Source organism: Homo sapiens, chromosome 16 (genome assembly GCF_000001405.40).
Source record: "Homo sapiens chromosome 16, GRCh38.p14 Primary Assembly".
In the NCBI taxonomy this organism is placed as follows: domain Eukaryota; kingdom Metazoa; phylum Chordata; class Mammalia; order Primates; family Hominidae; genus Homo; species Homo sapiens.
Genome location: NC_000016.10, coordinates 88,441,411 through 88,465,560, shown reverse-complemented (window position 1 = coordinate 88,465,560; position 24,150 = coordinate 88,441,411). Strand labels below are relative to the sequence as shown.

The following is a 24,150-nucleotide window of genomic DNA, read 5'->3' as shown; positions in this document are numbered from 1 at the left end:
GGGACACCAGGGATCCACACAGGCGAAATGCCCACCCTGGGGCATTGCATTGCTGTCAAGGCTGTGAGGAGGGCCCCGTGCTCCCACTCATTTGACAGGTGGGGAAACTGAGGCACAGAGACATGGCCCAAGACAGGCGCAGCCAGCCAGGCCCAGACTTCTGGCTTTTCCTCCACCCTTTGCCCACCACCAGGCTGCTGGGAGGGGCACTTCCCCGACAGAGGGCTTCCCCGCAGGCCTGTGGGCCACGGTTACTAGCTCCCAGCACCAGCCTGTTTCCAGCATTATGACATGTTTCTGCTGTTTGTCTTCTGAGCAGACGCTGCGCCCTGCCTGTGTCTCCCCAGCCCGGGCCCTGCTGTGAGCTAACTCTGCACCTCCGGACACGGGGTCTGTGCAGAGGCCGCTGCGGTGTAGGCCGGATGCTCTGTGGTTCATGGTCTGGCCCAGGGGCCAAAAGAGGCTGGGAGAAACGGCCAAGGGCTCCCACCCACCCCAGGCCCCCATCCTCCTCACCCTCCTCCCTACCTTCTTTTTCAAAAACATAATTTATCTATGTATTATCAAGAAATCCAGACACTTTAATCAGTGAGCTATGAAGTCAGAATTTCCATTCTTATCTTCGGGAGGAGTGGAAATGGACGAGATAGGCAGCGGATCGCTGGTGGGGAATGTTAATGGGTGGAGAGGCTGGGCTATTGGCCACCGAGAAGCTGGTATCTCCTCCATTATCAAGGCTGTATCTCACTCACCATCTTGGCGCAGTAATGGGGCCAGTTCAACTTTCCCAGTTATCGCAGGAGCTGAAACCTGTGCCCGCCAGAGGCCCGGACCAGGAGACAGTGCAGGGCGGACCAGGCCGCAGCCTGTAGAGCTGGAAGGGTATGGGAATGATCGGCTTGAGCCAGGGCCCCAGAGGGCCTGGGTGCCCACCGACCATTGCCATGGCGGGGGTAGGGGGTCTCTCTGCTTTCTGGGAAAATGTTTGGTTTTGGTGGAGCTGGGTGTGGGCCTATGAGCAATGGGGGAAACTGAGGCTGACTGCCTCAAGGTCCCAAGAAGGCTGGGGTAGTCCCAAGCCTTCCTGAGCTGTTCCAGGCCCACGAAGTGGAAAGACGGTAGGTGGTGTTGGGGACAGCAGCAGGACTGAGGTGCAAACACCCCGTCCTCCTGCCTTGGGACTTGCAGGGTGTCCCGTCCCCTCTGGGAGCATATCCAGGGCCCAGGCCTGGAGTCGGGAACTATCAGTCATAAACAGGCAGCCTGGGGGCACCTGGGGGCCCTGCCCCTGTGGGTCTCAACCTTAGGCACGGCTCACATGCCTCGGCCCCTCGGGCCCAGGTGTGCTCAGTGCACCCTTAAATTTTGAGGGGCTGCTCACCTCTCCTCAGGGCCCTTCCTTGAGACGCGGCACCCAGGCCCTAAACAGAGCACCTCTGTCCACTGGGAAGAAGGAGCCTCCAATCCATTCCTTCCAGCCCCCAAGGATTGACCGATGGACCACGGGGTATAGAACAAACACCTCGATCAAGGGCTCCTGGCTGGCTGGAGCCCCATCCCATGGTCTGGGACTTCCTGGAAGTGCCCAGGGCTGGCCCTGCCCTACGTGTGCCAGGTCTAGCCGTGGCTCTGATCTCTTTCCTACATTTCTAAGGCCCTGCAGTGGCCACCTTGGCCCAGAGCAGGGAAGGGACTTGCTCAGGGTCACACAGCCAGAGGACACAGTTTTGAGGCCAGAGCTGGATCTGCCTAGAGACACAGGAAGGCCTCAGTTTCCTCAGCCTGAAGACGGGCGTCCCCTGGCCCAGCGGGAGCAGGGAAAGGTCTCCTATGAAAACCACCACTGCTGCCCTCCTCTCGTTCCCTCCTCAAAATATTTGCCGGGTGGTTTCCCCGCCCAGATCTAGGAGCTCAAGCTCCGGGGCTGGGGCTGACCTTGAAACTCTCTAAGCGTCAGTTTCCCCATCTGCACACTGGGCCTCCTTCAAAGGCTGCCGGGAGAAGGACGTGAGGCCACGTCTATCAAATCCTGGGCACGGTGGCCTAGTGCGAGGCAGGGGCCTAGTAAATGCCCAGTAGGTGCTGTGACACCGGTGAACCTGGGGGCTGAGTGTGGAGAGCGGCTTAGGTCCTGGGGTCACATCCGGGGGAGGGCCCTGTGGCCACTGATGGCTCTGAGTCTTGGCTTCCCCTCCCATCACGAGGGTCTGGGCGCCTGCTGCCAGAGGAACCCCAAGAGAGGCTGAGGGGGCAGCTGCAGGCACCTGGTCCCTCACTGGGGGCTGAGGATGTCCAGGATAGATGCGCCATCAACCGTGAGGCCCTGTCCCCTGTCCCCGGAGGACTACCCAGCAGGTCTTTCCTCATGCATCACTTCGGGAAGGAGCCACGACCACCTGGCCCTGGGGCCTCCTCCGCTCCTGCTCCCTGGGTCTGACTTGGGAAGTGGGAGCTTGATGGAAAAAAGGGAAGTTGGGGCAGGAGGCGGTGATGGGTGCAGGTGCCCAGAAGGAAGTGGGAAGGAGTGGGCCCACGCAAGGCCAGCCGTGACAGAGACACCTGAGGGACGTCAGCAACCTGGGGAGGGGAGGGGGGCCCCTGCCCTGTTTGTGTGGATTTTGTTACAGACCACAGGGGGCCCTGGCCCGGGCTGCACCTCCCGTGTTGGGTGGCATCGCTCCTCACAGCCCCGTGAGGTGAGCATCACTGCTCCATTTTATAGTGGGGAAACTGAGGCTCAGGGTGGCTGAGTGACTTGCACGAAGACCGGGCAACCCTGGAGCCCAGCCTGGTGCCTTACGATACCCCCACTTTGCAGAGATGGAGACTGAGGCTTGGAGAAGCAAGGTAACCTCCCTATAATGACAGAGGGTCTAGGATTCTCCACTCCAGGATTCCAACCATGGCGGCCCACAGGGAAGCTCCCGGAACAACCCGGAAGCCCGCGGTGGCTGCCCTCTCCTTCTCAGGAAGCCACACCCCTGACAGTCCAGGAGGTCCTAGGCACAGGCAGCCATGCAGGTCCTAGGCACAGCAGGGTCACCCTGCCCTGCCGCTGCCTCCACAGCCAGAGCACCACTGTGTGCTGTGAGACTCTAGCGCAGCCACCCACCCTCTCTGACCCCCGATTTTCTCACGTGCGAAATGGGTGGAGAACCCAAAGCTAAGTGGTGTCTGGAGAAGGGCAGAACGGGGATGCCCGTAAGGCACTTAGCAGACAGGAGCCCTCAGCACGCCGGGCTCACTTCAGCTCCAGGTGGGGAACTGAGGGAACCAGGGGAGTCAGGGCCTGAGCTCTCGGAAGCTGCCCACCAGCCCCCAACACCCATTTCACAGCCGGGGAAGCTGAGGCTCCCAAGACCACAGCCAGCAGCCCAGGGGAAGCTGGGGAAGCAGACGGAGGCACAGGAGGCTGAGGGGAGGGGCCTGCTTATCTGCTCACGCGGCTCTGCCCAAGATCAGCCACCACATTCCTGCCTCAGCAGGACCACTGCCTTCCCCCAAAACACAAGGCAGCTGGGGAGGGAGGAGGAGATGGGGAGGCCGCCGGCCGATGCAGTAGGGCTGGTGGCCTGGGGGTGCTGAGTGGGCAGTGCCCAGAGAAACCTGGGCCCACCCCCAGGGTCCACGGCCCCAGCTCCCACGTCACATAACCTCACACATGTCACGCCTCCAGGGCCTCCGTTTCTCTCCTGTAAAATGGGTTGGCCAGTGCCAACGATGATCTTAGCAGTGGGTCAGATCTCCGGGCAAGAAGAGGACAGCCGGGGCTGGGGTGTGAGGCCAGCCCAGTCCAGGGCGTGGCACACTCAGGCAGAGTCCCTCCTCCCTTCAAAACCTAACGCCTGAAGGAGGGGAGGGCCAGCGGGACTCTGCTTAACGTCCAACCCTCAGGGCTTTTGGCAAAATATCAATAATGCAACCGGCAGCTCCAGAGGCAGCAAAGTCCCTCACAGACGTGTCCCTAGGACAGCCCTTCCCAGCCTGCACCCCACACAACAGCCGGGAAGGAGGTGTTCTCATCAAGCTCCTCCTTCAAGAGAGAAACAGAGGCCCCAGATACAGCCACTGGCCAAAGGGTCACAGCAAGGCCAGGCCAGGACGTGAGGTTGCGCTGTTGTCCGAAGCGGTCCCCAGACTGGTCACCTCCCTCTCCAGAGCTGAAGGCCGGCAACCACCCGGAGCCCTGAGGGTGCAGCCCAGGTGGCGGGGCAAAGCCCCTGCGGTGGGGATGGGGTGGGAACCTGGGGACTCCCCAGCAAGCATCCTGGTCCTCACCAGGCCTCGCACCCGTCGGTCCTCACCAGGGCCTCCCGCCCCACCCCTGGGTCCTCACCAGGCCTCCCGCCCCTGGGTCCTCACCAGGCCTCCCGCCCCGCCCCTCGGTCCTCACCAGGTCTCCCGCCCCTCGGTCCTCACCAGGTCTCCCGCCCCATCCCTGGGTCCTCACCAGGGCCTCCTGCCCCTTGGTCCTCACCAGACCTTCTGCCCCTGGGTCCTCACCAGGGCCTCCCGCCCCTCGGTCCTCACCAGGCCTCCCGCCCCACCCCTCGGTCCTCACCAGGCCTCCCGCCCCTCCCCTCGGTCCTCACCAGGCCTCCCGCCCCGCCCCTCGGTCATCACCAGGCCTCCCGCCCCGCCCCTCGGTCCTCACCAGGCCTCCCATCCCTCAGTCCTTAGCCTGCCCAGTGGCCCCATGAACAGCTGGGAGGCCGAGGCCCACGGGAGTAGGAGCACCATGTCACCCGGCATGAATAAGTCAGGTCCTCTTCCTGACGCGGGACCAGGGGTCTGCTCCAAACAGCTGCTATTTAAGCACCTACTGTATACCAGCCCTGTTAGACTACCCAACACAGCTCGGATAGGAGGGACCCTGTTATTCCCACTCTAAAGCGGAGTCTCTAAGGTGGGCATTGGCTGAGGCCACCTGGCTGAGAGCCACACCCTCCATCCTCACTCTGGGGTCCTTAAGTCAGTGCCACGTGCTAAACATGAAGGCTGGTGTTGGGCAGAGGGCAGGACCAGACCATCTCCCCTGTTTCTTCCTCGCACCAGGGCAGGACTTGAGTCCTGGCCCCTTAGGACCTTTTCATCCTCATCTGAAAAATGGGTATGCCCATTGAACCAACCGAGGCAGGGAGGGCCGCCACCATGACACTGCCTGGGCCCAGAAAGATGGCAGGCAGCTCCCCAGGAACTGCCAGTGTGCCTTCCTGTGAAGAACCCCACTCCTCCTGACCCACCTTCCCAGGCTGAGAGCAGCCCACTGCTCTCCGGGCCCTGCCAACAGTAGGCTGGGGACCCTCGATAAACCCTGGGCCTCTCGCTTGGCTGCCTGGACCCAAAACCCCTCTGGCTTGGCTTGGTCCAGACCCTCCCAGAGCCGGGTGGGGAGGTGGACAGGCACAGGCAGGAGCATCATCTCAGCCCCTCCTCGCTGCCTTCGCCAAAGGGAAGCCCCAGCCCAAGAGGGCAAGAGTATGCCAAGGCCACACAGCCTGGGGAGTCGGGATGCGCTGGAGGGAAGGGCCAGCCAGCTAGAGGGTGGGTGTCAGGGGCTGCCCTGACCTGGAACCTGGGGCCAGCGCAGTGAGCTATGTGAGCAGCAGGGTTGAGGGGCCCTTCCAAGGCAGGGCCCCTGTGTGTTTCACATGCTGGGCTGTCCTGGGAGACAGCTTGGGAAGAGGGATTGCTCCATCTCAGATAAGCTGGAAACCACAGATCTCACCCAAGTGATTGACCATGAAGGGGAAGAGGGGGAGGAAGAGGGGGAGGAGGAGGGGAAGGGGGAGGGGGAGAGGGAGGAGGAAGGGGAGGAGGAGGAAGAGGGGGAGGAGGAAGGGGAAGAGGGGAAGGGGGAAGGGGAGGAGGGGGAGGAGGAAGGCCCTTGCCAGAGGGCACTGCCAGCCCCATGGGTGGGCGTTAGGCTGCTGGGGAGGAGGGAGAGGAGGGGGAGGAGAAAGAGGAGGAGGGGGAGGAGGAAGAAGAGGAGGGGGGAATGAAGAGAAGGAGGAGGAAGGGGAGGAAGGAGAAGGGTAGGAGGGGGAGAGGGTTAGTAGCAGCTGTCTCGGATAACAGGTATTTTCCTTCCATTCTTACAACAGTGCTCAGGGGGCAGGTACTATCATTACGCTCACTTTGCAGATGGGAAAACGGAGGCTCACATGGGTAGGCCTTGCCCATAGTTCCACGGCCAGTAAGTGGCAGAGCTGTGGTGTGAGCAGACCATGTCTATTTTGAGCTGAGCGTCCCTCTGGTCATTTATCTGACAGAGTTCCGGGAGGCCCACTCTGTGGGGACGGGACTGACCCAGTCCTGCTCTCAGAGAGCTTGTGGGCCTGAGCGGGGAGTGGGTGACAGGATGGGCTGGCAAGGCCATCAGGCAGGTGTGGACAGGGCCTCTGAAGGAGCTGCATGGGGGCCGCCTGCACACAGGCAAATTCCAGGGGCCAAAAGGAGCCACAGAGGAGCCACCCAAGTCTCGACTTGCACACAGGCCCTAACGAGGGGCTCAGCCCTGACGGGCGCCGGCTCTCCCCTGGTCCATAAGGCCACATGCGCTGCCTGCAGCTTGCAGGTGGCTGATCCCTCACCCATGGGGTCATCTGCCTCCTAATGACACAAGCAAGGACAGCGCATCCAGAGTGGCGGGACTCACCAGGCAGGGCGCAGATGACCCCTTTGCAGGTTCTGGAACCCCCTTCCCTTCAGTCTGGGCCACTCCTGCCTGAGTGTAGGGTGGCAGACGAGGTCTGGAGAGCAGACCTGTGGCTGTAGCCTCAGTTTCCCCCTCTGTGAAATGGGGTCAGGAGCCACTGGGCACCTCCAGGAATACCCACGGGTATGGTGGCCAGGTGGGCAGGAGCCCCACCAGGGCCCCGAGTGTGGCCGGGCCGGGTCCATGGGGTTGGTGATACCAATCGGCCAGGCAACAGCTGCCTCCAGGAGGAGGCTGTCGATGGCAGATAGGCCAGCGGGAGTATTATTCACAAGCCCGTCAAGCCCAGGAACGTCTGGTTGGCATAGAAACAGGAGATAAGGGGCACAATTAATGGCATCACATTCCCTCCTCCTTTCTTCTCCAACTGACCCATTTAAATCCCCAGTGGTGCTGGATGCCACACTGGGTTCCTGGTGACCTCCAGGGAGGGGCTGGCGGGGCTGACGGCAGTCCCAGGCCCAAGGAAGGCCCGGATGAGCCTCCCAGGGGACCCCCTCCCCCTTGCAGTCATGTCTTAGGAAGGAGGCCATCTGGGGAAAGACCTCAGAGGGCCTCTGGTCCCAAAGGCCCATTTCACAGATGTGGAGACTGAGGCTGAGAGAGGCTCAGGGTGGCAGGGCAGACAGAAGCCGGAGGATGGAGAGAAGGCAGCGCGGTGCTCACGGACACACCCTTAAGGAGCGCAGGCCCGGCCGCCTGGGTTCCAACTCTAGCTCCATCACTTGCTTGGGCGAGAAACTTCTCTGTGCTTCAGTTTCCCCAGATGTAAAATAGTGATCAGAAGAGGACCTGCTTTAAGTTAATACACAGCCTGGCACAGAGAGGGCTCTTAAGCATTGGCTGTTATGAATATTATTCTTACCATCAAATGATCATGAGCTGTCTGCCTTCCCTAAGGCCCAGGAAAGGGGGTAAACCACAATCGGCCCAGAGCTGGGTGACGGCGTGGACTCCGGGGTCCGCCAGACCCTGCTGGAGTCCAGGTTTAGGGGTGGGGGGCCTTGAGAGTACCTCCCGATCTCTAATTCCCTCTGCTAAATGTGGCTTGAGGGCAGGTGCGGTGCCTCGTGTCTGGAACCCCAGTGCTTTGGGAGGCTGAGCTGGGAGTATAGCTTGTGCCCAGGAGTTCAAGACCAGCCTGGGCAACGTAGTGAGACTCCATGTCTATTTTGTAAAAAAATTTTAACTAAGGAAAAAAAAAAGAGAGAGAAAGAGAGAAAAACGTGGCTGGGATCAGGACTCTGAGATGACAATGATGGCTTCGCAGCCTAAGCATCAAGCAGGCTGCAGGCACCGTTCCCCTCAGGATGGTGACTGGGGACGAGGCAACTGGGCCAAGGACCAGGTAAGCTGAGAGCAGGACCTGCAGCCCCTGGATGGCAGACACTATCATATCCATGTTTCCAACAGGGGGAAACTGAGAGCTGTGGAAAGCACAGTAACTTGTCCCCTGTGGTTCAGCACCAGGGTCAGCCAGGCTGCCAAAGCCCCTTCTTTCCTGGATGCTCTGCCACCACTCTGGGTCATGAGCATGGTAAGGTGGCCTCTGACAGCCTCAACACCCGGGTGCCTCCCACGCATGGAAGGCCAGTGTGGATGGCTCTGTGCTGACATCCCACTCATGTTCATAACACATCACAGAAACCACCCCATCTCCCTCTGGGCCCAACCCAGCCCTCTCTGGAACTGGAAATGGCCCTTGCCAGATGGCACTGCCAGCCCCACGGGTGGGCGTTGGGCTGCTGGGGAGAGCAGGTGGGTGACTTTGAAGCTTGGAGTGAATTAGTCATCCTGTGGTTACCAATAATTTGTTTAATCAAACTCTGAGAGTGTGTGAAAAACACCTTGTTCTGAGCTGCAGCAGCTGCCTGGGCTGGAATAGGAGGGGCTCAGGGACCCTCCCTCCCCGGCTCCTTCCGGAAGGCCCTACCCAGATGGCCTAGGGTTCTATCTGGCCTGTGGGATCCATGGGCCCTTCCACTGCAAAGTGCCTCGGTGGACCCTCAATATCTCCAGCCTGACCTGGGGACTCCCACAGCCCTGGGGACCTATTCCTGATTCCATTTTTCAGAGTGGGAGACCAAGGACCTGACCAACTCCATCACTCCCGACCTCACTCGCACCTGCTGGCACAGGCTGGCCCCCCAGCCCCAGGCGCCTCTCAGCCCTTGCTCCCCCGACAGCAGTGGAAAACTGAGGCCAGCCCTACTGTGCCAAAGGTCACCCCCTTCCAAGAAGTGTCCCTGACCACCTGACGTGCCCCCTGCTCCCCTTGGCTGCCCCCTCTGCCCCTCTCGTTTGCCACTGGGACCCAGGGCCTGTATGCAGTAGTGCTCAGCAAACAGTGCTCAGCCCAGGCAGGTCTGCAGCGCCTCCACACCAGGGTACACTGGCCTCCCCCAAAGCAGTCTGGGCCATGGAAACCACCTTGATTTTTTTTTTTTCAAGAAAACTCCAAGCAGTGTACACTTGGTTCTTGCTAGGAACTACCAGCAACACCAGCATGATTCAAGGGGAAAACACCCTCTCTCCCTCTGGAGGTGACAAACCCACCTCTAGCGGTCTCGCACCATCTACGAGGACTCGGGGCGGGGTGTCCTCCCCCTTCCCCCTCCTGGCCGGGGCAAAGCCAGTTTTCTTTCATTTTGACGGACTGTACCACCGGCCACAGGGGAGGATCAACTTCTTGGCAATTAAGTGTGTTTGGGGAGAAAACTCCCCCAGACAGACCAGCGCAGGGACGCCGGCTCCCCGGCCCCAACCCGGGCCGTTCCAAGCCCCCACTCGCCCCAGTCGCGGCGCCCCCGCGCTGTTCTCCAACCCGGCCGGGCCTGGTGGCCAAAGATAAGGCCTCTTATCGCTCTTGGCGATCGCCATCGGGCCGACCGGCCAGGCTCTTATCGGAGCTCACATCGACTCGGGCGGGAGGAAAACCCAGCGGGCTGGGGGCGCCGGGGGTCCCGAGCTGCCCCGGCCCCGCGCTCCCCGTCGGCAGCCCGGCCTATCGCCTCCGCCATCTGGCCGGCCAAGGCCGCGCTCCCGCCTCGCCCTGCCCCCGCTCCCACGTTTGAAGTTAATAAATGGAAGCGCCTATCTCAGCCACCATCGGTTGCGCGCCTTATCAGCGCGGCACATCTATCTCCGCACGGAACAAAAGGCGCACAGAGGCGCGGGCAGCTGCGCCAGGGCTTTGATGGGGGCGCGGGTGGGGGGTGGGCGGCCCGAAGCGCTCGGCCCCCTCCGCTCTGCACTCGCGGCCCGGCCGCAGGTGAGGCCAGGGCAGCGGGCAGGCACAGGCGCTGGCAAGAGGGCGGGCGGGCGGGCGCCGCCGCTTGGTGACAATCAGCCTTCGCATCTTAACGTGCTGAGATCTGCCATGGGGAGGAGGCGCCCCGGGCCGCGAGCGACAGGGAGGGTCCGCGGCCCTGCCTTCCTCGTCCGGGCCCTTTCTCTGCCCCGGTCCCGGGCCGCAACGAGGATGGGCCGCGGTGGCTCACCGTGCACCCGCCGCGGTCCCAGTTCCCAAAGTGCGCGCGCTCTGCCCGCCCCGCTGGGCTGGGCTACGGGCTCTCGCTGGCGCTGGCGGCCTTATCAGCGCTGGAGATCGGTTTCCAACCTGCGATCTCCCTGTCCGAGCTATCTGCATTTCTCATCACAGTGAAACACCACACACACACACACACACACACACACACACACACACACACCCCAGAACCGAACATAGGCGCTCAGGGAAGGAAGGAAAAAGAAACCAGAGCACAAGCGCGGATCGGGACCTGTGGGTGGCTTTTAATACTTGAGTTGACACGATAGAAGGCGACTTTCGGAAAACAGGTCCCGTTTGCGCTGAGGGAGTTGGGTTACGGGAACCGGTTCATGCCTGTGACCCCCGCCTCGGGAGACCTCCTGAGTAGGGAAGCTCCCACAGGCCCCGCACAAGGGGTCCTGGTGGCAGTGGTCGTGTGGACAAAGGAGGTAGTGCCCGGGCGCCTACGGCTGGGCAGCGGGCGGGTTTCCGTCGTGGCCTCCTGGCAGGGCTCAGACGACCTGCCCGTCAGGCTCCGGGGAGGCGCCCCGGGGAGGAAGACCTGCGTCTGGGCCCTAACTGTGAGGCGCAAAGTTATTATTGGCATAGGGTGGGGAGGGTAGCTTCCTGTGCTCTTGCTCCCTCCTGGCACAGCCCAGAGGCCCAGGCCAGACAGTGGCCCCGACAGCTTAGTTCTCATCGCGGGGGCACTGGCAATGTGGCGGCGGGGCAGCAGCCTCTGACCGGGCAGGGAGCCGGACCAGCGAGAAACTTAGTGGCGTGCAGGGGCGACCCCGGCCCGGGGCTGCGTCCTGGGAGGCCCTTCTCTGACTCAGAGCAGCCCATTGGGATGCCAGGGGGTGCCCGCGGGCATCCGAGGGCACCATTTGTTGCCCATGCCGCCTTGGCTGGGACACTTGCAGGGTCCAGGAGGTGTCACCAGGCTGGCGGGGCCTGGGTTCAGGACTTCAGCGCTAGGGCACGGGGTGGGGGTGTCTGGGGGGCTGGAGCCAAGTGCCTAGGCTGCGGCAGCTGCGCGCTACCCCCTCCCCTGTCCTGCGGCTCTGCGACGGCACCGGTGGGGGTGGGCGCGGGCCGGTGCCTGCCACTTGGCCAGGCATCTCCGCGGCCCCGGGTGTCCCCTCTGCCTCCCAGGTCTCTCTCTTCGCTTCTAGATACAAAGCCTGGGAGAGTCAACCGCGCGAGATAAGATCACAATTTCAGCCCGTCCCGACAGAACGATCTTATCAGGACGGGACTTGCAGAATGTAATATTTTAAACTTTATCTGAGCCCAGATCGGGGCCGCCCTATCGCCGCACCATCTCGCAGATGCGGGGGAGGGGCAGGCCGCGAGGGGCCGAGCTGCCCGGGCCGCGCCCCCAAACACCCTCCTCCCGGCCTCCGGGCGGCCCCCTCCTGGGCTGAACCCCCCGGTGCCCAAGCCGAGACGCGGGGGCCCAGGCCGCCGGCGGAGATTAGATTACGGCGCGCTTGGCACAGCGCGGGGGGCGCGGCGCGGGGTGAAGGTCGCCGGCGCCCAGGGCAGAGCGGGGACGGGCGGGGGCGGCGCTGGCGGCTGGGCTCCGGCGGGGGTCGGGCGCGCGGAGGGGACCGCGGGCAAAGTTTGACTCACGCTTGATCTGCCGGGGGTTGCTCTGTTTCCGCCTGGACATGTCTCCGGCGCCGCGCGCCCTCCCGGCGGCCGCCTCTAGCCCCGGGCGGGCGGCGGCGGGCGGCGGGGGCGCGGCGGGGCCGCGGGGCCGCTCATGCCCCCGGCCCCCGGTCTCCGCGGCCGCCCCGGCCCGCGCCCCCAGCCCGCGCGCCCAGCCCCGGAGCCGCTGGAGCTGCCGCGGAGGCCCGAGAGGCCACGGTCCTGCGTTGCGGGCGCGCGGACTGCCCGACGGGCGGGTGCCGGCTCCTCCGCTCCCGCGCACTCGCCGCCGCCGCCGCGGCCGCTCGGCTTTTCTCAATGGAACCCGCGGGCGGCGAGCGGCGGAGCAGGCGGCCACTGCGAGGGCGCTCCTGGCGGGCTGGAGGCACGGGGCGGGGCCGGGCCTGAGCGTCGTCGGCCGCCGCACCTCCCGCCCCGCCCCCGGCGCTCCGGCCCCGCCCCGTGCCTCCTGCCGGGCCCTGCACCTCTCCGGCTCCGCCCCCAGCGCCGCGGCCACGCCCCCGCCAGCCCGGCTCTTCGTTGCTCTGGCTCCGCCCCCAGAGCCGCGACCGCGCCCCCGCCCGCCTCGCTCTTTACGGCGCTGGCTCCGACCCCAGCGCTGCGGCCCCGCCCCTGTCCGTCTGGGCCTTCAAGGCACTGTCCCCGCCCCGCTCGATGCCCCGCCCCTTCCTGGTTCGGCCCCGCCCGCGCCCCGGGGAGACCTCTAGCCTCCCCCACTCCTCTTTGGCCCGGAGGTCATGTCCCCAGGCCGCGCTGGGAGTCTGAGACCTATTCGGTTCTGTTCTGCTGCCCCGCGGCACCGCATCCTGCGCCCCGCCTCTCGGCGCCAGCTCCGCCTCCAAACCTGACCCGACCTGGTTGGGTCCTGAGACGCCGAGGCTCCGCCCCCGCACTGTAACTCCGCCCCCAGCCCTTGGTCCCTCCCTAGACCCCTGGGCTCTGCCGCACGCTCCACGTGCGCGGTGGGGGCAGTGACAACCGGCTCAGGAAGCCCGAGGCCTTGACGCCCACGTTTCTCTTGGGCCAGACTTGGGGTGTGGAGCGGATTCGGGCCAGGGAGGGGGCTTCCGTCCCAGACTGCGGTGGGGTCCGCCAACTGAGAGCAGGATCTCGGGTCTTCCCCTGTGAGCTCAGACCAGGCTGGAAATCGAGGAGGGGGCGCGGGAGCCGGCAGCCCTGGGCGTTGCCACTTGGGGCCTCTTTCCTCACCGAGCCTCTCCAGGGCGCCCCGCAGGAGACCCACGAAGGAGTTGCCCACAGCGCCCGGGCCACAGCCCCCTCTCGGAGCAGTCAGAGGTCAGCGAGGTTTGTGGGCGCGGTGCTGTCAGCTCAGGCCTGGAAATGGAGAACTGTTGCCCTCTGGGGTGTGTTCAAGAGCCCCACTTCACGGAGGCTCGGGGACTTGCTCAAGGTCACGCATTGGGGGGCTGTCCCCCACTCCCAGCTGAGTTGTATCATCTCCTTTTAATGTTCTCGGTCTACACTTGCTACCTGCTCCCCCATCCCCCGTACTCATAAGAAACGGGCGTCAGTGGGCCCAGGGGCAGACAGGAAGGACCCCTCCCACCTGATGATGAGATCATCGCACAGCAGGACTGTCACACCACCCGCCAGCCTGCTGGGAGCTCCTAAGACCCCATCTCGTGCCAACTTCTGTGACCTATTCCCTGGCTCCAAGGAAGGGGAGAAGTGGGGGCTTACCCTCAGAGCCTGGTACAGGAGAGTGGCGGGTGGGTAGGAGAGGCAGGGGTACAACACTGGATATGCGCCGTCCCTCCCCACTGCCATGGACAGACAGGAACACTGAGACCAGGAGGCCAAGAGAGCTGCCCAGGGGCATACGGGTCCTCCAGCCCTTCCTGCTCTCTGCCAGGGTCCAGTGGGCACAGCCTTCCCACAGCTGCTCTCTGGAGGGGGTGGGGCCCATGTCTGATTGGTTCACTCAACCTAGGACCTCCCCCCCACCCTCCCGCCCCCACCCAGTGCTTGTCAACTGGATGGAGCACCTACCTGTCTGGGTTTCCCACCAGGCCTCGCCTCCTTCCCCAAAGAAGTCCACTTTAGAGTATGTGGACCTGTGAGTTAGGGGAGTTCCTGGAGGAGGTGGCCATGGGCTGGCACCTGGGCTGGGTCTGAAGCTCCACGCACAGCAAGTGGCACCCAGGCTGGCGCTGCTGGAACGGGCGGAGATCTGTGTTGAGGTGGATTCCGAGGGTCAACAGGAGACAGCCATGATCATCCATGATTGATGTCTGTCTAGGCTGCAGGAGGAGACGATGGGGATCATTTTGGCTGCTGCTTTGCCTGATCTGATTTATTTCTATGAGCCCATATATAGATGAAAACATGGAGGGACATGCCCAGGGAAGCCAGCGAAGGGGGCAGGCGGCAGGTCCAGACCACAGCCTGCTGCCCTGCCTCCATCACTTGCAAGGCCCCATGCAAAATGAAAATATGAAAATGTGGAGCCCCCTTGATCAAAACCCCCAAACCCCAAAACCCCAGGGCATCAAGGGCAGGATGTTGAGCCCGGTGTGGTGCCCTTCCCAGCTCGGGCCCTGTGCCCCTGCACCGGTCACAGGTCCCCTAACCCTGCCAGGGCTGCTTTTGTAGCACATTCCTTCTACACTCTGTCCCTCTACCTGCCCGGAGGAAGGCATTATTACAGATGAGAAAACCGCAGCCAAGAGGGGAGGCTGCCTGCTGATGTCGAGTGGTAAAGCTGCAGGACCTTGCACACACCATTAAACCCTCAGGGTGGTCATGACGATAACCATACACTGAGGAAGAGACACAAGGCATGCTGTCTAGAGGATGGTCTGGGGGAGCCCAGAGCAGGAGCGGCCATCTCTGCCTGGGGAAATCAGAGAAGGCTTTCTGGAGAAGGTGACATCCAAGTGGGGCTTTCCAGGAGTCCCTGATCAGGTGGGAGAGGAACAGGGCGTGGGGTTGCTGAGGCTGTCCAGGCTGAGCCCACCTAGGACCTCCACCCCCCACCTGCTGCCCATTGTGAACCCCAGTTTCCATCTGCCCCTGCATGTTCTCGAGGTGTGTTGAGATTCACATCCAAAGTCACTGGTGGGGAAGTTGGAATTGCATTCAGGAGCTGCACTGGGTTCTCCCCTGCTGGCTCCCAGGGAGAGCAGGGCCTGGAACACATAGGAAGTGCTGTCTGGCAGTGGCCTGGAGACTGCCTCCCCTCCAAAAACAACCTCAGCCCAAAGAAGACATTTTTGGGGTTTGAGAAGTGGGGGTGTGCAGGGGTGGGCTGGGCCAGTGGACATGGAATTCCAGCCTTCTATTAGGAGTAGAGGGGTGTGATGGGGCAAATGCCTTACTATGCTTCTACTCTGCCTCAGCCCTGCCCCTGATGCTGGGTCGGTTTCAGGGGAGGTTCTCCTGTGCGTTGCCGACCCTGTACATTTGGAGGTAAGGGAGGAGGCACTCTGAGATGGCCTCCTCTCCCAGCTCCCCAGCCTCCTCTCCCCTTTCCGGGACCTGTGTCAGCATCACCAGCACAGCACTGACTTTGTGCTTCCAGGCTGTGCCAGGTCCGTGCCACCTTTGCACAACTGGCTGGGGTGGGGGCTCAAGTTACCACCATATTACAGATGCAGAAACTGAGGCTTGGAGCGGACCAGTTGCTTTTCAGGGGTCCTACGTCTTGGAAGTGCTGGAGCTGGGAGGGAGCCCAGGAACTCTCACTCCAGAGCGCATGTTCTTCACCCTGAATGGGACGTTGGGAAAACTGGGTTCGAGTCTTGGCTCTGCCACTTTCCCTCCTACCTGTGGGCTACCGGCCATGGACCTGGCTCCTCTGACGGGCCAGTGCCGAGCTGCCCCAGCGTGCAGGGCAGGCCCACCTGTCTCCTCTTCGGCAGTCTCCCGGGGAGAGCTCAGGAAGGCCACCCGGGGCTGGGCAGCAGCTGTGGATGGGTGAGGGGCTAATTGTGGCACCACCTATGTGCCAGGCCGACTGTTGAGCTGTGACTCAAGGAGCCACAGAATGTTCTAGGAACTTAAGCTGGACCTTGAAGGATGAGGATGAAGAGGATGATCAAAAAAGAGTGATGGGAGAGAGAAGGGCATTTCTGGCGGAGAGGGTGCAGGGGCAGAAGCTGGAGGCCGGGGTGGGTGGACCAGGGACCGCAGTGGCTGCAGGGCTGGTGCACCTGGAGGTCAGGCCACGTGAGGGCCTCGGAACCAGGCTGCACCCAACTCCTCTGTCTGCTTCCCACCACTCCCCACAGCTGGCCTGTCACCAGGATCTGTGACTTCACTTCCTTATGGCTCTGAGAGGCCCCTCCCACCCTGCTCCAAACCTTCATCAGCCTCATCTTGCCCACTCTCCCCCACCCTGGCTGGTCCCTGATGGAAGGGTGAAGCCAGCGGGGCCTCCTAAGAGCCATGTGTCGTAGCCTCAGGCTCTGCCCTTCCTTCATCCTGGAGCCTCCCTGTATGTGGGTCCAGCGGTCCCCCTTGGCACAAGCTATTGGGCTGCTGGGTGCACCCTTCCCTCCGTTGCCTGGCCTGGTCTGCCCACCCCTCCTGAGGGAATCCACTGAGTGCCCCAGGCAGGCTCAGGTCTCTCTGTCCCAGAGTGCAGGGCAGGCCCAGCTGTCTCCTCTTCCGCAGTCAGCGCTGCCCTCCTACAGCAGCAGCCACAGCAGACACTGCGGAGGGCCCTTCCGAGCCAGGCTGCACATTTGCATATGTCGGCACACTCTGCTCACAGCAGCTCTCTGCAGAAGGAGCTGTCAGAATTCCCATTTGCCAGATTTGTAAACAGAGGTTCAGAGAGGGGAAGTCACTCGCCTGAAGCAGCAAAGCAGGGAAGCGCAGGGCAGGACTCTCTCGGGGACGCGCATGCTCTGAAACGCACAGGGGTGGCTGAGTGAGGGGAAGGGACCCCAGGACCTCTCCCGTGGTCCCCGCCCGGGCAGGGCCTCACTTCCCCCACTGCCAGTCATCCCCAGGCCTTGGCGCCGCCGGGCAGCCGTGCCAGGGGCCCATTCTGACATTTGTCAAAGCTGGCTCTGTGAAGGGTTTAATTAACTTCCTGTTTCAATGGGGGGGATAATGAGTTTTAAATACCACATGACTCCATAAGGAGGTCAGGCGGCAGCGGAGATGTCAAAATAAATTAAGTTAGGAATCGGGAGGCCACTCGCCATGGGGGGTGGTCTGGCTGGCTCTGGGATGCTGCCTGGGCCACCCTGGGCAGGGGCTGCTGCTGCTGTGGCCCTGTTGTCACTGGGGCTGGCTCTGGCTTTGGAGACGGGGCTCAGGCAGTCCCACCCTCAGCCGGGACCCATCTGATCTATCAGACATCCGGGGACAGCAGAAAGCGGGCTTGGCCTGGGAGCACGCTGGATAAGCCCCTCTCCTGTGGGTCTCACAAGCTTTGCCCTCCAAGAGCCAATGGCCAGGCTCTTGCCTGGAGACTGTCCTTGGATATCAGCCGGGAGTGACCTTTTCACGCAACTGCCTGTCTGTCCCATTTATCCGGCGGGGCAAGGTGATACCAGTGCAGACAGGAAATCTTATCTGGACATTTCTTAATCTCTGATAGTGGGGGTCATGTACATCACAGATAGGACTCCCTTCCTTCCTCTCTCCTCTCCCTCCTTTCCTTCCTTCCTTCCCTCCTCCTCTTCCCCTCTTCCCTCCCTTCCTTCTTCTCTCTTTTTTTTTTTTGAGACAGGAGTCTCACTCTGTCCCCCAGGCTGGAGTGCAATGGAGTGCAATGGTGCAATCTCCGCTCATTGCAACCTCCACCTCCCGGGTTTAAGTAATTCTACCTGCCTCAGCCTCCCAAGTAGCTGGGATTACAGGCACCTGCCACCATGCCCGGCTAATTTTTGTATCTTTAGTAGAGACAGGGTTTCACCATGTTGGCCAGGCTGGTCTTGAACTACTGACCTTAGGTGATCCGCTCACCTCCCAAAGTGCTGGGATTATAGGCGTGAACCACTGCACCCGGCCTCCCTTCCTTCTTTCCATCCATAAATATGTCTTGAGCTCCCAACCCAGGTACTGAGATTAGGCAGTGAACACACACAAGTCGTCACTGTGTGTGATGGACTGTGCCAGGCGGAGGTGGTGGCCAACAGCAGTGAGTGGACAGCAGACGACACGGGGGGCTTCCATGTGCTATAAATCAGGTGGGGCGGGGGTTGCCATCTGACCAGGTGTCTAGGGGAGACCCCGTAACACTTGGGGAGGGTTTCGGGAGGAGGGAGCCAGCACGTGGCCAAGGCAGGCTGTGGACTGCAGCTCAGTTCCCCCATCTCTGTCCACCTTGGGCTTGACCTCATGGCCCTGTGACCTACTTCGGTCAGTGGAGCGCCAGCAAATCGGAGGCAAGCAGAGGCTCACGGAGCAGGTGTATGCACGGCTTCCTGAAGACGCCTGACCTGGGGCCTTGAGGATGAAAGACTGCCTGGAGGTGGGGGGTGTGCAGCCCTGCCCCTGCTGACCTGCTGGTGGGTGGCAGCTGCCAGAATGAGCCCAGGTGAGGCCAGAAGACAGTCCGCTCAGCCGACCTGTGGAAACTTGGTCCGTCGTCAGTCCTGTTTTCAGCCACGAGCTTGGGGGCTGTTTGTGACACGGGCGTAGATGGTGCAGACGAACGTGGGTGAGCGGAGGCAGGGGCTGCGCACAGCTGCGGGACGCAGTGGCTGCACCTCTGGCACCGCCGGGGAAGCTCTCGGCACAGGACCCGAGGCACGATGAGGAGCCAGGAAACCTGTGCGCGATGGCGAGGACGGCCCGGGCAGGACATGGAAAGCGGCTGTGGCCTGTGTGGTTGGTCCCAGGCGATGCTGCAGGAAGACCTGTTTGGTTTTCAAGCAGAACTTAGGAGCCATATGCGAGAGTGTGGATATGCCAGGCTGGAAAGAAAACTGCCACGCGTTTCCAGTCTCTCTCGCTGAGAAAGATGCTCGGAGGAAGCCCTGGCCTCAGAGTGAGGAGCTGGTCCAAGGTGTGGCTGCAAGACTGCGTGTCTGGCCCCAGGAAGACCCTGTTGCTGCATCTGGACATCGGCCTCCAGAATCGGAAGAGCTCGGCCACACAGCAGCCACGGCTGGCAGAGTGGAGAAGGGTCTGTCCATGAAGGTCGAAGGGGCCTTGCTCTGGTGGATGCACCATGAGATGAGATGGAAGGAGGCGGAGACAACACAGAGGGTGAAGAGGCCCGGGACCCCATGACCTTCACCAGGCAGGGGAGCGAGGGAGGTCCCTGAACGGCAGACTCGGCCGCCTCGAGGAGAGGACACCAGGCAGGGGAGCGAGGGAGGTCCCCGAACGGCAGACTCAGCCGCCTCGAGGAGAGGACACGCCAGTGCAGAGCCAGGCCCCAGGTGGCCGGGCTAACAGCACAGTCACTGTACGGGGCAGGGCCCGGGCTTCGGAACCGCCTGTGGCAGTGACGGACATGTGCCACCCTCCTCCCAGTTCCCGACAGGGGCATTGGTAGCATTTGTCCTACACCCCGTGCCCTGCACCCCGACGCACGGGCATACTTCACCGGAGGAATGACTCGATGGCCTCAGCCACACCTGGCCCTATCTAAATGTCAGGGCCCCGGGCCTGAGCCTGACGCTGAGACACGGTGAGACTTTTGGGGAGACTTTTGGAGGGGTGAGTGTGCCCTGCATCTGGGTGGAATACAAATAATTTGTGGCCAGAGGGCAACGGTGATGGTTTTAAAACATGGCCCCCGGATCTGTGACACACCTCCGTGCGGGCAGGGAGACCCAGGCCCCGTCTTGGATTTTGGCTCCGTGACTGCTTGGCCGGAAGGATGTGCGGGAAGCCACGCCACTTCGGCTCCCAGCCCAGCCCTCGAGAGGCCGGCGGCGTCTGGGTCTCGTCTTTCGGGACCCTCGATGTTGGAACTCAATCACCATGTTGGGTGGAAGCTCACTCGGAGACGCCAGCCCCAGCAGGTGCCTCGGGCAGCAGACGAGCTGTGCCCACCCAGCCCTGCCCAAATGGTAGATTTGTGAGCAAAAGACGCGATTGTTGTTCCGAGCCACTGAGTGCCGGGGTGGCTTTTCATGCAGCCAGAGATGACCGAGACAGAGGGTGGGAGACGGAGTCGGAGAGGGGCAGGGCCCCAGCCGCGCCAGGCCCTGGGGGGCGAGGAAGCACCGCATGACTTTGACTCCGCAAGCCTCGCCGCAGGGGCCCAGGTCAGTGTGGAAGGCGCCAGCCGCAGCGTGTGCGTCTCTCCTCACAGAGAGAGCGCCACTGCCTGGCGTGAGGCCAGCAGTTCACAAACGCCGTCTCCTTCTCACCACAGTCCCGGGAGGTCTCATGGAGCCCGTTTTACAGACAGGGGAAACTGAGCCTGCAGTGTGAAATCCAGCCGGGCGCAGGGAACCGCGGCTCCTTGCCTGGAATTGAGCTCTCAGAGGGAGCTGCTGGGAGCCAGGGCTGGAAAGGATGTTGCTGGTCACTTCGTCCATTTAACAGATGGAAGAACTGAGGCCCGGTCGGGGGTTGCTGGTGACCAGCCTGAGGCCTCTGGCCCCCAGCTCAGTGCTCTGCTGCTCCTGGGTACCTCCTGGTGCTGGCAGAACACATCTGCCCTCTCCTTGGGCCCAGAAGCAGGCCTGGGGTTCTCTCGGGCAGTGCAGGCCAAGGGGCAGTGTGTTCACCTCCCTGCCATGCCCCGGGCCTTGGGGAGGACCAGCTCTGCCTCCTCTCCTCACAGCCACGCGGCTGGTCAGTGAGACAGACACTGCATTGGGGAAAGGGGCCGTGGGCTTGGGACCCAGGCCAGGGCAGGCCTGGAAAGACAGACACCCCTGGGCCTCAGCGTGGCTGTCCTGGGGCTGCGATCCACCCAGAATTGGGAACTGCCTCCCGCTGCTTCCCAGCTGGAACCTGGCGTGACCTGCTTGTTGTCCTTGCGCTGGGAGGGGGAGACACTGGGGCTGGAGCCCCCAACTTCAGCTGCATCTCTGTGGCCCATACGTGGCACGTGGACAGAGGACACGGGCAGGACTGAGCTCCCCATGGGCTCCAGGGCCTCCAAGTCCCATCACCTCTGGGGTGTTTCAAGGAATCCCCACATTAGCCGCCCCAAAGTCACTGGGACACAGCCCCTTCCCCGGGGCCGGCCCTCTCCATCCCCCTCTCCCCACTGCGTGAACCTGGCCATCCACACATCTTCTCAGGAGAGCAGATGCTTCAAGGTGTAGGAGCGTGTAGGAGAGCCTGCTTTCAATAATGAGTTTCCCAGTAAACCGTCCCGGTAAACTGTTCCCTGAGGAGGGTAGGAGGGTGTGCCCCCATCCCGCGGAACCCCTGACCCTGCCCTGCATACCTCCTCTCTGTGCGGTGGGGTGTGGGGATGAAGCCAGGCCTGCCACTCACCACTGGCACCCTCCTACCCTCCCTCTGCTTCCTCGCCCCACAGGCTGAGACCCAAGGGCACCTGGCATGTGCTCCCCTGCCTGCGTCTCCTCCACGGCTGCCTGCCCCCTCTGTCTCCTCAGCCTGGCCCAGGGCACCCACTTCTCTCCTACCCCACTTCCCCAGCGGCCTTGGAATCTAGACGTGGATGATGGGAAATAACGCCGCTGTCTATGGGAGCTCTCTGCATACTCATAGCCTCCCTGCCTCCCCCTGCTGCTTCAGGGCAGCCCATTGGGGGTTCTGGCCACAGAGGGACTCTGCAGTCTTGGGGCAAACTGGGCCTCAGAATCCTGGGTGGGAGAGACAGAGTCCCCAGGTTGGGAGAGTTGGTGTGGACGGTGACCCTGACTGTGCCCAGGGGGAGGGTTGGTGTAGACGGTGACCCTGACTGTGCCCAGGGGGAGGGTTGGTGTAGACGGTGACCCTGACTGTGCCCAGGGGGATGGTTGGTGTGGACGGTGACCCTGACTGTGCCCAGGGGGAGGGTTGGTGTGGACGGTGACCCTGACTGTGCCCAGGGGGAGGGCTGGTGTGGACAGTGACCCTGGCTGTGCACAGGGCCGGGCCTCAGTGTCCACTCCCTCTGCAGGGGTCCCCACAGGGCCTGCACAGCTCACGCCCAGTGCTCCTCTGCTCCCAGCTCAAACACCTGTCCTTCAGGGAACCCTGCAGGGACTCCGCAGCACTCTCTCCTGTGGCTGTGTGAGCGACTGGCAGGCACCTGAGTGCACCCCGGGGGCCGAGTAGGCGTGTGTGCGTGCGTGCGTGCATGCGTGTGTGCCTGTGGGCATGCGTCTGAATGCCCAGGTGTCCGCAGGGGTGAGGCTGTGCTGTGTGCACGTGTGCAGTCGAGGGATTCCCGCCTGTCTGTCCCCTTTAGTGTGTGGAGGTGCCGGGTGTGCACGTGGGTGGTTTGCAGGTCAAGTGGGTGTGGGGTCGGCAGGTGCGGTGCCTCTGGAGGCTGCAGGCGGCCGCCCTGCCCAGGTGGAGGCTGGACCCCCTGGCTGGGCGAATGCTGCCACCTGGTGGCCAGGCGGGGGCCGTCCACATCCTGGGTCTCCAGCCAAACGGTGGTTTCAGGCCCCACAGGAGGAGCGGTGAGTGGACAGGGGCAGGGCTCACTCCTGGCAGTCCCTGAGCATGGCCTCAGATGGCTCAGAGCAGCGGCCCTCCAACGTCAGCCCCCGAGGCTGGTGGGAGCGAGTGCCCAGCCCGTCCCAGAGCCGCTGACCCGAGTGGGGTGCCCTGGATGCTGCCGGCCGGGGCCCTGCCTGAGACACACTGTGCTGAACAGACACACTGCGGGTGTCCCAGACTGCAGACCTGGTGGGACCTCAAGGGTCTCCACCCATGAAGTCCATGGGACCCTTTCACACACCGAGCCCAGACAGGCAGCCCCGTGACCCACCGCTGCCCCAACACCAACTCAGAGCCCTGTGCGGGGTGCAAGGTCCTTTCCATGCCCTTCCCCCCAACCCCCGTCTACGGGCCTCCTGCGGAGCCTCCTCCCTGGATATGAAGCCACCCGCCAGGTATAGTCCCTGTGCCAGACCAGCACCTGTTCAGAAGGCCCCGCCTGGGGGCTGCGTCTGCTGGCTTCCCTGAGCCAGGCTCCTTGCACAGTGGGGGGGTAATGTGAGCAAAGGGGGTGGGCAGATGGCCACACCCCCACTCACCAGCCCCTCCTGCAGGCAGGCCTGGCCCAGGCTGCCTTGTGGCCTCTGCCACCATCAGGGCTGGGAAGACCCCAAAACCAGTGTCCGAGCAGAGAGCCACCCAGGCAGAGGACGGCGGGCGTGAGGGGAGGGGCCCAAAAGGAGGGAAGGGGCCGTGTGCGGGCCTGGGAACAGTGTTCCTGGCAAAGGGAACCCTGCAGGCAGGCGCCTGGCGGGTGGGGAGGCGGTGGGGGTGGGTGGGCCACAGCCGCAGGCCGCAGGTGAATCTGTCCTCTATCCAGGGAAGAGGGGCACCGTGTGCTTGGACGGAAGTGGTGAGACCCCGGTTAAGGTGTCTCATTTAGGAGCTCCGCTTCCCGTGGAAGAGGGGAGGAAAGCAAGGCTGGTGAGGCAGGGAGGGCTGGAGGCCTCCTCTGAGCAGCCTCCTCATCTGCCCAGTCAGGGGTCTACTCTGACCCACCCTCACTGGAGAGGGTCACTTGTCTCCTGGACACTGGGATCTTTGAGGGGCGCTGTAGGGCACAGGAGGCTGGGTGGGGAGGGTCTCCTGGTTCCACTCTTCCTGCGGCCCTGGCCCCTTCCCTGCGGCTCCCTCAATGGAGCCACTCTGCTCCCTGAGGACCCCATCCCGGAGCCAGGAAGTTTTGGAAACAGAGCGGGAGACTGAGGCAGTGCTGCTGACGGCCTCATGATCTCCGTGTGTTAACAAGCAGGAAGGTGTGGCTGCCCCGCTGGGAATCATTTGTAAGATCCCGCCCAGGTTCTGCTGGGGTCTAGAGCTCCCCATGCCCCCAGCCCCTGCAGCTGGCATGACGGTGTCCGACATCCACCCCGAGAGCAGGGCTTTGAGGACAGGCGCTGCCCTCCCCACGCTGGGCCCCTTCGCAGACGCCCTTACGGTGTGAGTTCCGCCAGCAACAAGTGGAAAGCAGGGGAGGCCCAGCGCCCACCTGGGGGAGGGGTGAAAGCTGACCAAGTCCATTGGCCAAGAAGATGAGAGGATGCCTTGATGGTCAGTGGCAGGCACTTCCACAGAACATTCCAGAAGACAGTCTCAGGAGAAGCTTGGAAGGGCCATGAGGGAGCAGGCTTTGAGGCAGGGACGTGTGGACACCTTCAGGGAC

At 62.8% G+C, this 24,150-nt stretch overlaps 1 protein-coding gene across 3 annotated transcripts in view, besides 14 other annotated features; it reads right to left on the bottom strand.

Moving 5' to 3' along the window:
• Nucleotides 1-13,792, bottom strand: part of ZFPM1 (zinc finger protein, FOG family member 1) — an 85,263-nt gene extending 71,471 nt beyond the window's left edge. For 2 of the 3 annotated variants that reach the window (XM_011522914.3, XM_047433667.1), the window contains exon 1: nucleotides 13,623-13,792. In XM_011522914.3, coding sequence (XP_011521216.1) covers nucleotides 13,623-13,761 — 139 coding nt within the window. In that variant the 5' untranslated portion in view covers nucleotides 13,762-13,792. Of the gene's footprint in view, nucleotides 1-11,882; nucleotides 12,282-13,622 lie in introns of those variants that run through there. The other variant, NM_153813.3, reaches the window with a different exon arrangement.
• Nucleotides 2,843-3,758: an enhancer, noted in NCBI's record as "H3K4me1 hESC enhancer chr16:88528211-88529126 (GRCh37/hg19 assembly coordinates)". NCBI's record gives its function as "activates a minimal SCP1, AML or CMV promoter by ChIP-STARR-seq in primed H9 embryonic stem cells {active_cell/tissue: H9 hESC(primed)}" and the evidence as "EXISTENCE:reporter gene assay evidence [ECO:0000049][PMID:30033119]".
• Nucleotides 3,286-3,580: a silencer, noted in NCBI's record as "tiled region #3966; HepG2 Repressive non-DNase unmatched - State 17:Gen3'". NCBI's record gives its function as "weakly represses a minimal TATA promoter and a strong SV40 promoter by Sharpr-MPRA in HepG2 cells {active_cell/tissue: HepG2}" and the evidence as "EXISTENCE:reporter gene assay evidence [ECO:0000049][PMID:27701403]".
• Nucleotides 3,286-3,580: an enhancer, noted in NCBI's record as "tiled region #3966; K562 Activating DNase matched - State 1:Tss". NCBI's record gives its function as "activates a minimal TATA promoter and a strong SV40 promoter by Sharpr-MPRA in K562 cells {active_cell/tissue: K562}" and the evidence as "EXISTENCE:reporter gene assay evidence [ECO:0000049][PMID:27701403]".
• Nucleotides 4,910-5,413: a silencer, noted in NCBI's record as "fragment chr16:88526556-88527059 (GRCh37/hg19 assembly coordinates)". NCBI's record gives its function as "represses an EF-1alpha promoter that drives an FKBP-Casp9 reporter gene in an ReSE screen in phorbol 12-myristate 13-acetate-treated (for megakaryocytic differentiation) K562 erythroleukemia cells {active_cell/tissue: K562(+PMA)}" and the evidence as "EXISTENCE:reporter gene assay evidence [ECO:0000049][PMID:32094911]".
• Nucleotides 9,077-9,206: an enhancer, noted in NCBI's record as "active region_11352". NCBI's record gives its function as "activates an Ori minimal core promoter by ATAC-STARR-seq in GM12878 lymphoblastoid cells {active_cell/tissue: GM12878}" and the evidence as "EXISTENCE:reporter gene assay evidence [ECO:0000049][PMID:35858748]".
• Nucleotides 9,237-9,286: an enhancer, noted in NCBI's record as "active region_11351". NCBI's record gives its function as "activates an Ori minimal core promoter by ATAC-STARR-seq in GM12878 lymphoblastoid cells {active_cell/tissue: GM12878}" and the evidence as "EXISTENCE:reporter gene assay evidence [ECO:0000049][PMID:35858748]".
• Nucleotides 9,537-9,596: a silencer, noted in NCBI's record as "silent region_7854". NCBI's record gives its function as "represses an Ori minimal core promoter by ATAC-STARR-seq in GM12878 lymphoblastoid cells {active_cell/tissue: GM12878}" and the evidence as "EXISTENCE:reporter gene assay evidence [ECO:0000049][PMID:35858748]".
• Nucleotides 9,627-10,336: a silencer, noted in NCBI's record as "silent region_7853". NCBI's record gives its function as "represses an Ori minimal core promoter by ATAC-STARR-seq in GM12878 lymphoblastoid cells {active_cell/tissue: GM12878}" and the evidence as "EXISTENCE:reporter gene assay evidence [ECO:0000049][PMID:35858748]".
• Nucleotides 11,277-11,346: a silencer, noted in NCBI's record as "silent region_7852". NCBI's record gives its function as "represses an Ori minimal core promoter by ATAC-STARR-seq in GM12878 lymphoblastoid cells {active_cell/tissue: GM12878}" and the evidence as "EXISTENCE:reporter gene assay evidence [ECO:0000049][PMID:35858748]".
• Nucleotides 11,567-11,696: a silencer, noted in NCBI's record as "silent region_7851". NCBI's record gives its function as "represses an Ori minimal core promoter by ATAC-STARR-seq in GM12878 lymphoblastoid cells {active_cell/tissue: GM12878}" and the evidence as "EXISTENCE:reporter gene assay evidence [ECO:0000049][PMID:35858748]".
• Nucleotides 12,157-12,246: a silencer, noted in NCBI's record as "silent region_7850". NCBI's record gives its function as "represses an Ori minimal core promoter by ATAC-STARR-seq in GM12878 lymphoblastoid cells {active_cell/tissue: GM12878}" and the evidence as "EXISTENCE:reporter gene assay evidence [ECO:0000049][PMID:35858748]".
• Nucleotides 12,257-12,556: a silencer, noted in NCBI's record as "silent region_7849". NCBI's record gives its function as "represses an Ori minimal core promoter by ATAC-STARR-seq in GM12878 lymphoblastoid cells {active_cell/tissue: GM12878}" and the evidence as "EXISTENCE:reporter gene assay evidence [ECO:0000049][PMID:35858748]".
• Nucleotides 17,828-18,064: a silencer, noted in NCBI's record as "fragment chr16:88513905-88514141 (GRCh37/hg19 assembly coordinates)". NCBI's record gives its function as "represses an EF-1alpha promoter that drives an FKBP-Casp9 reporter gene in an ReSE screen in phorbol 12-myristate 13-acetate-treated (for megakaryocytic differentiation) K562 erythroleukemia cells {active_cell/tissue: K562(+PMA)}" and the evidence as "EXISTENCE:reporter gene assay evidence [ECO:0000049][PMID:32094911]".
• Nucleotides 21,573-22,438: an enhancer, noted in NCBI's record as "H3K27ac-H3K4me1 hESC enhancer chr16:88509531-88510396 (GRCh37/hg19 assembly coordinates)". NCBI's record gives its function as "activates a minimal SCP1, AML or CMV promoter by ChIP-STARR-seq in naive H9 embryonic stem cells {active_cell/tissue: H9 hESC(naive)}" and the evidence as "EXISTENCE:reporter gene assay evidence [ECO:0000049][PMID:30033119]".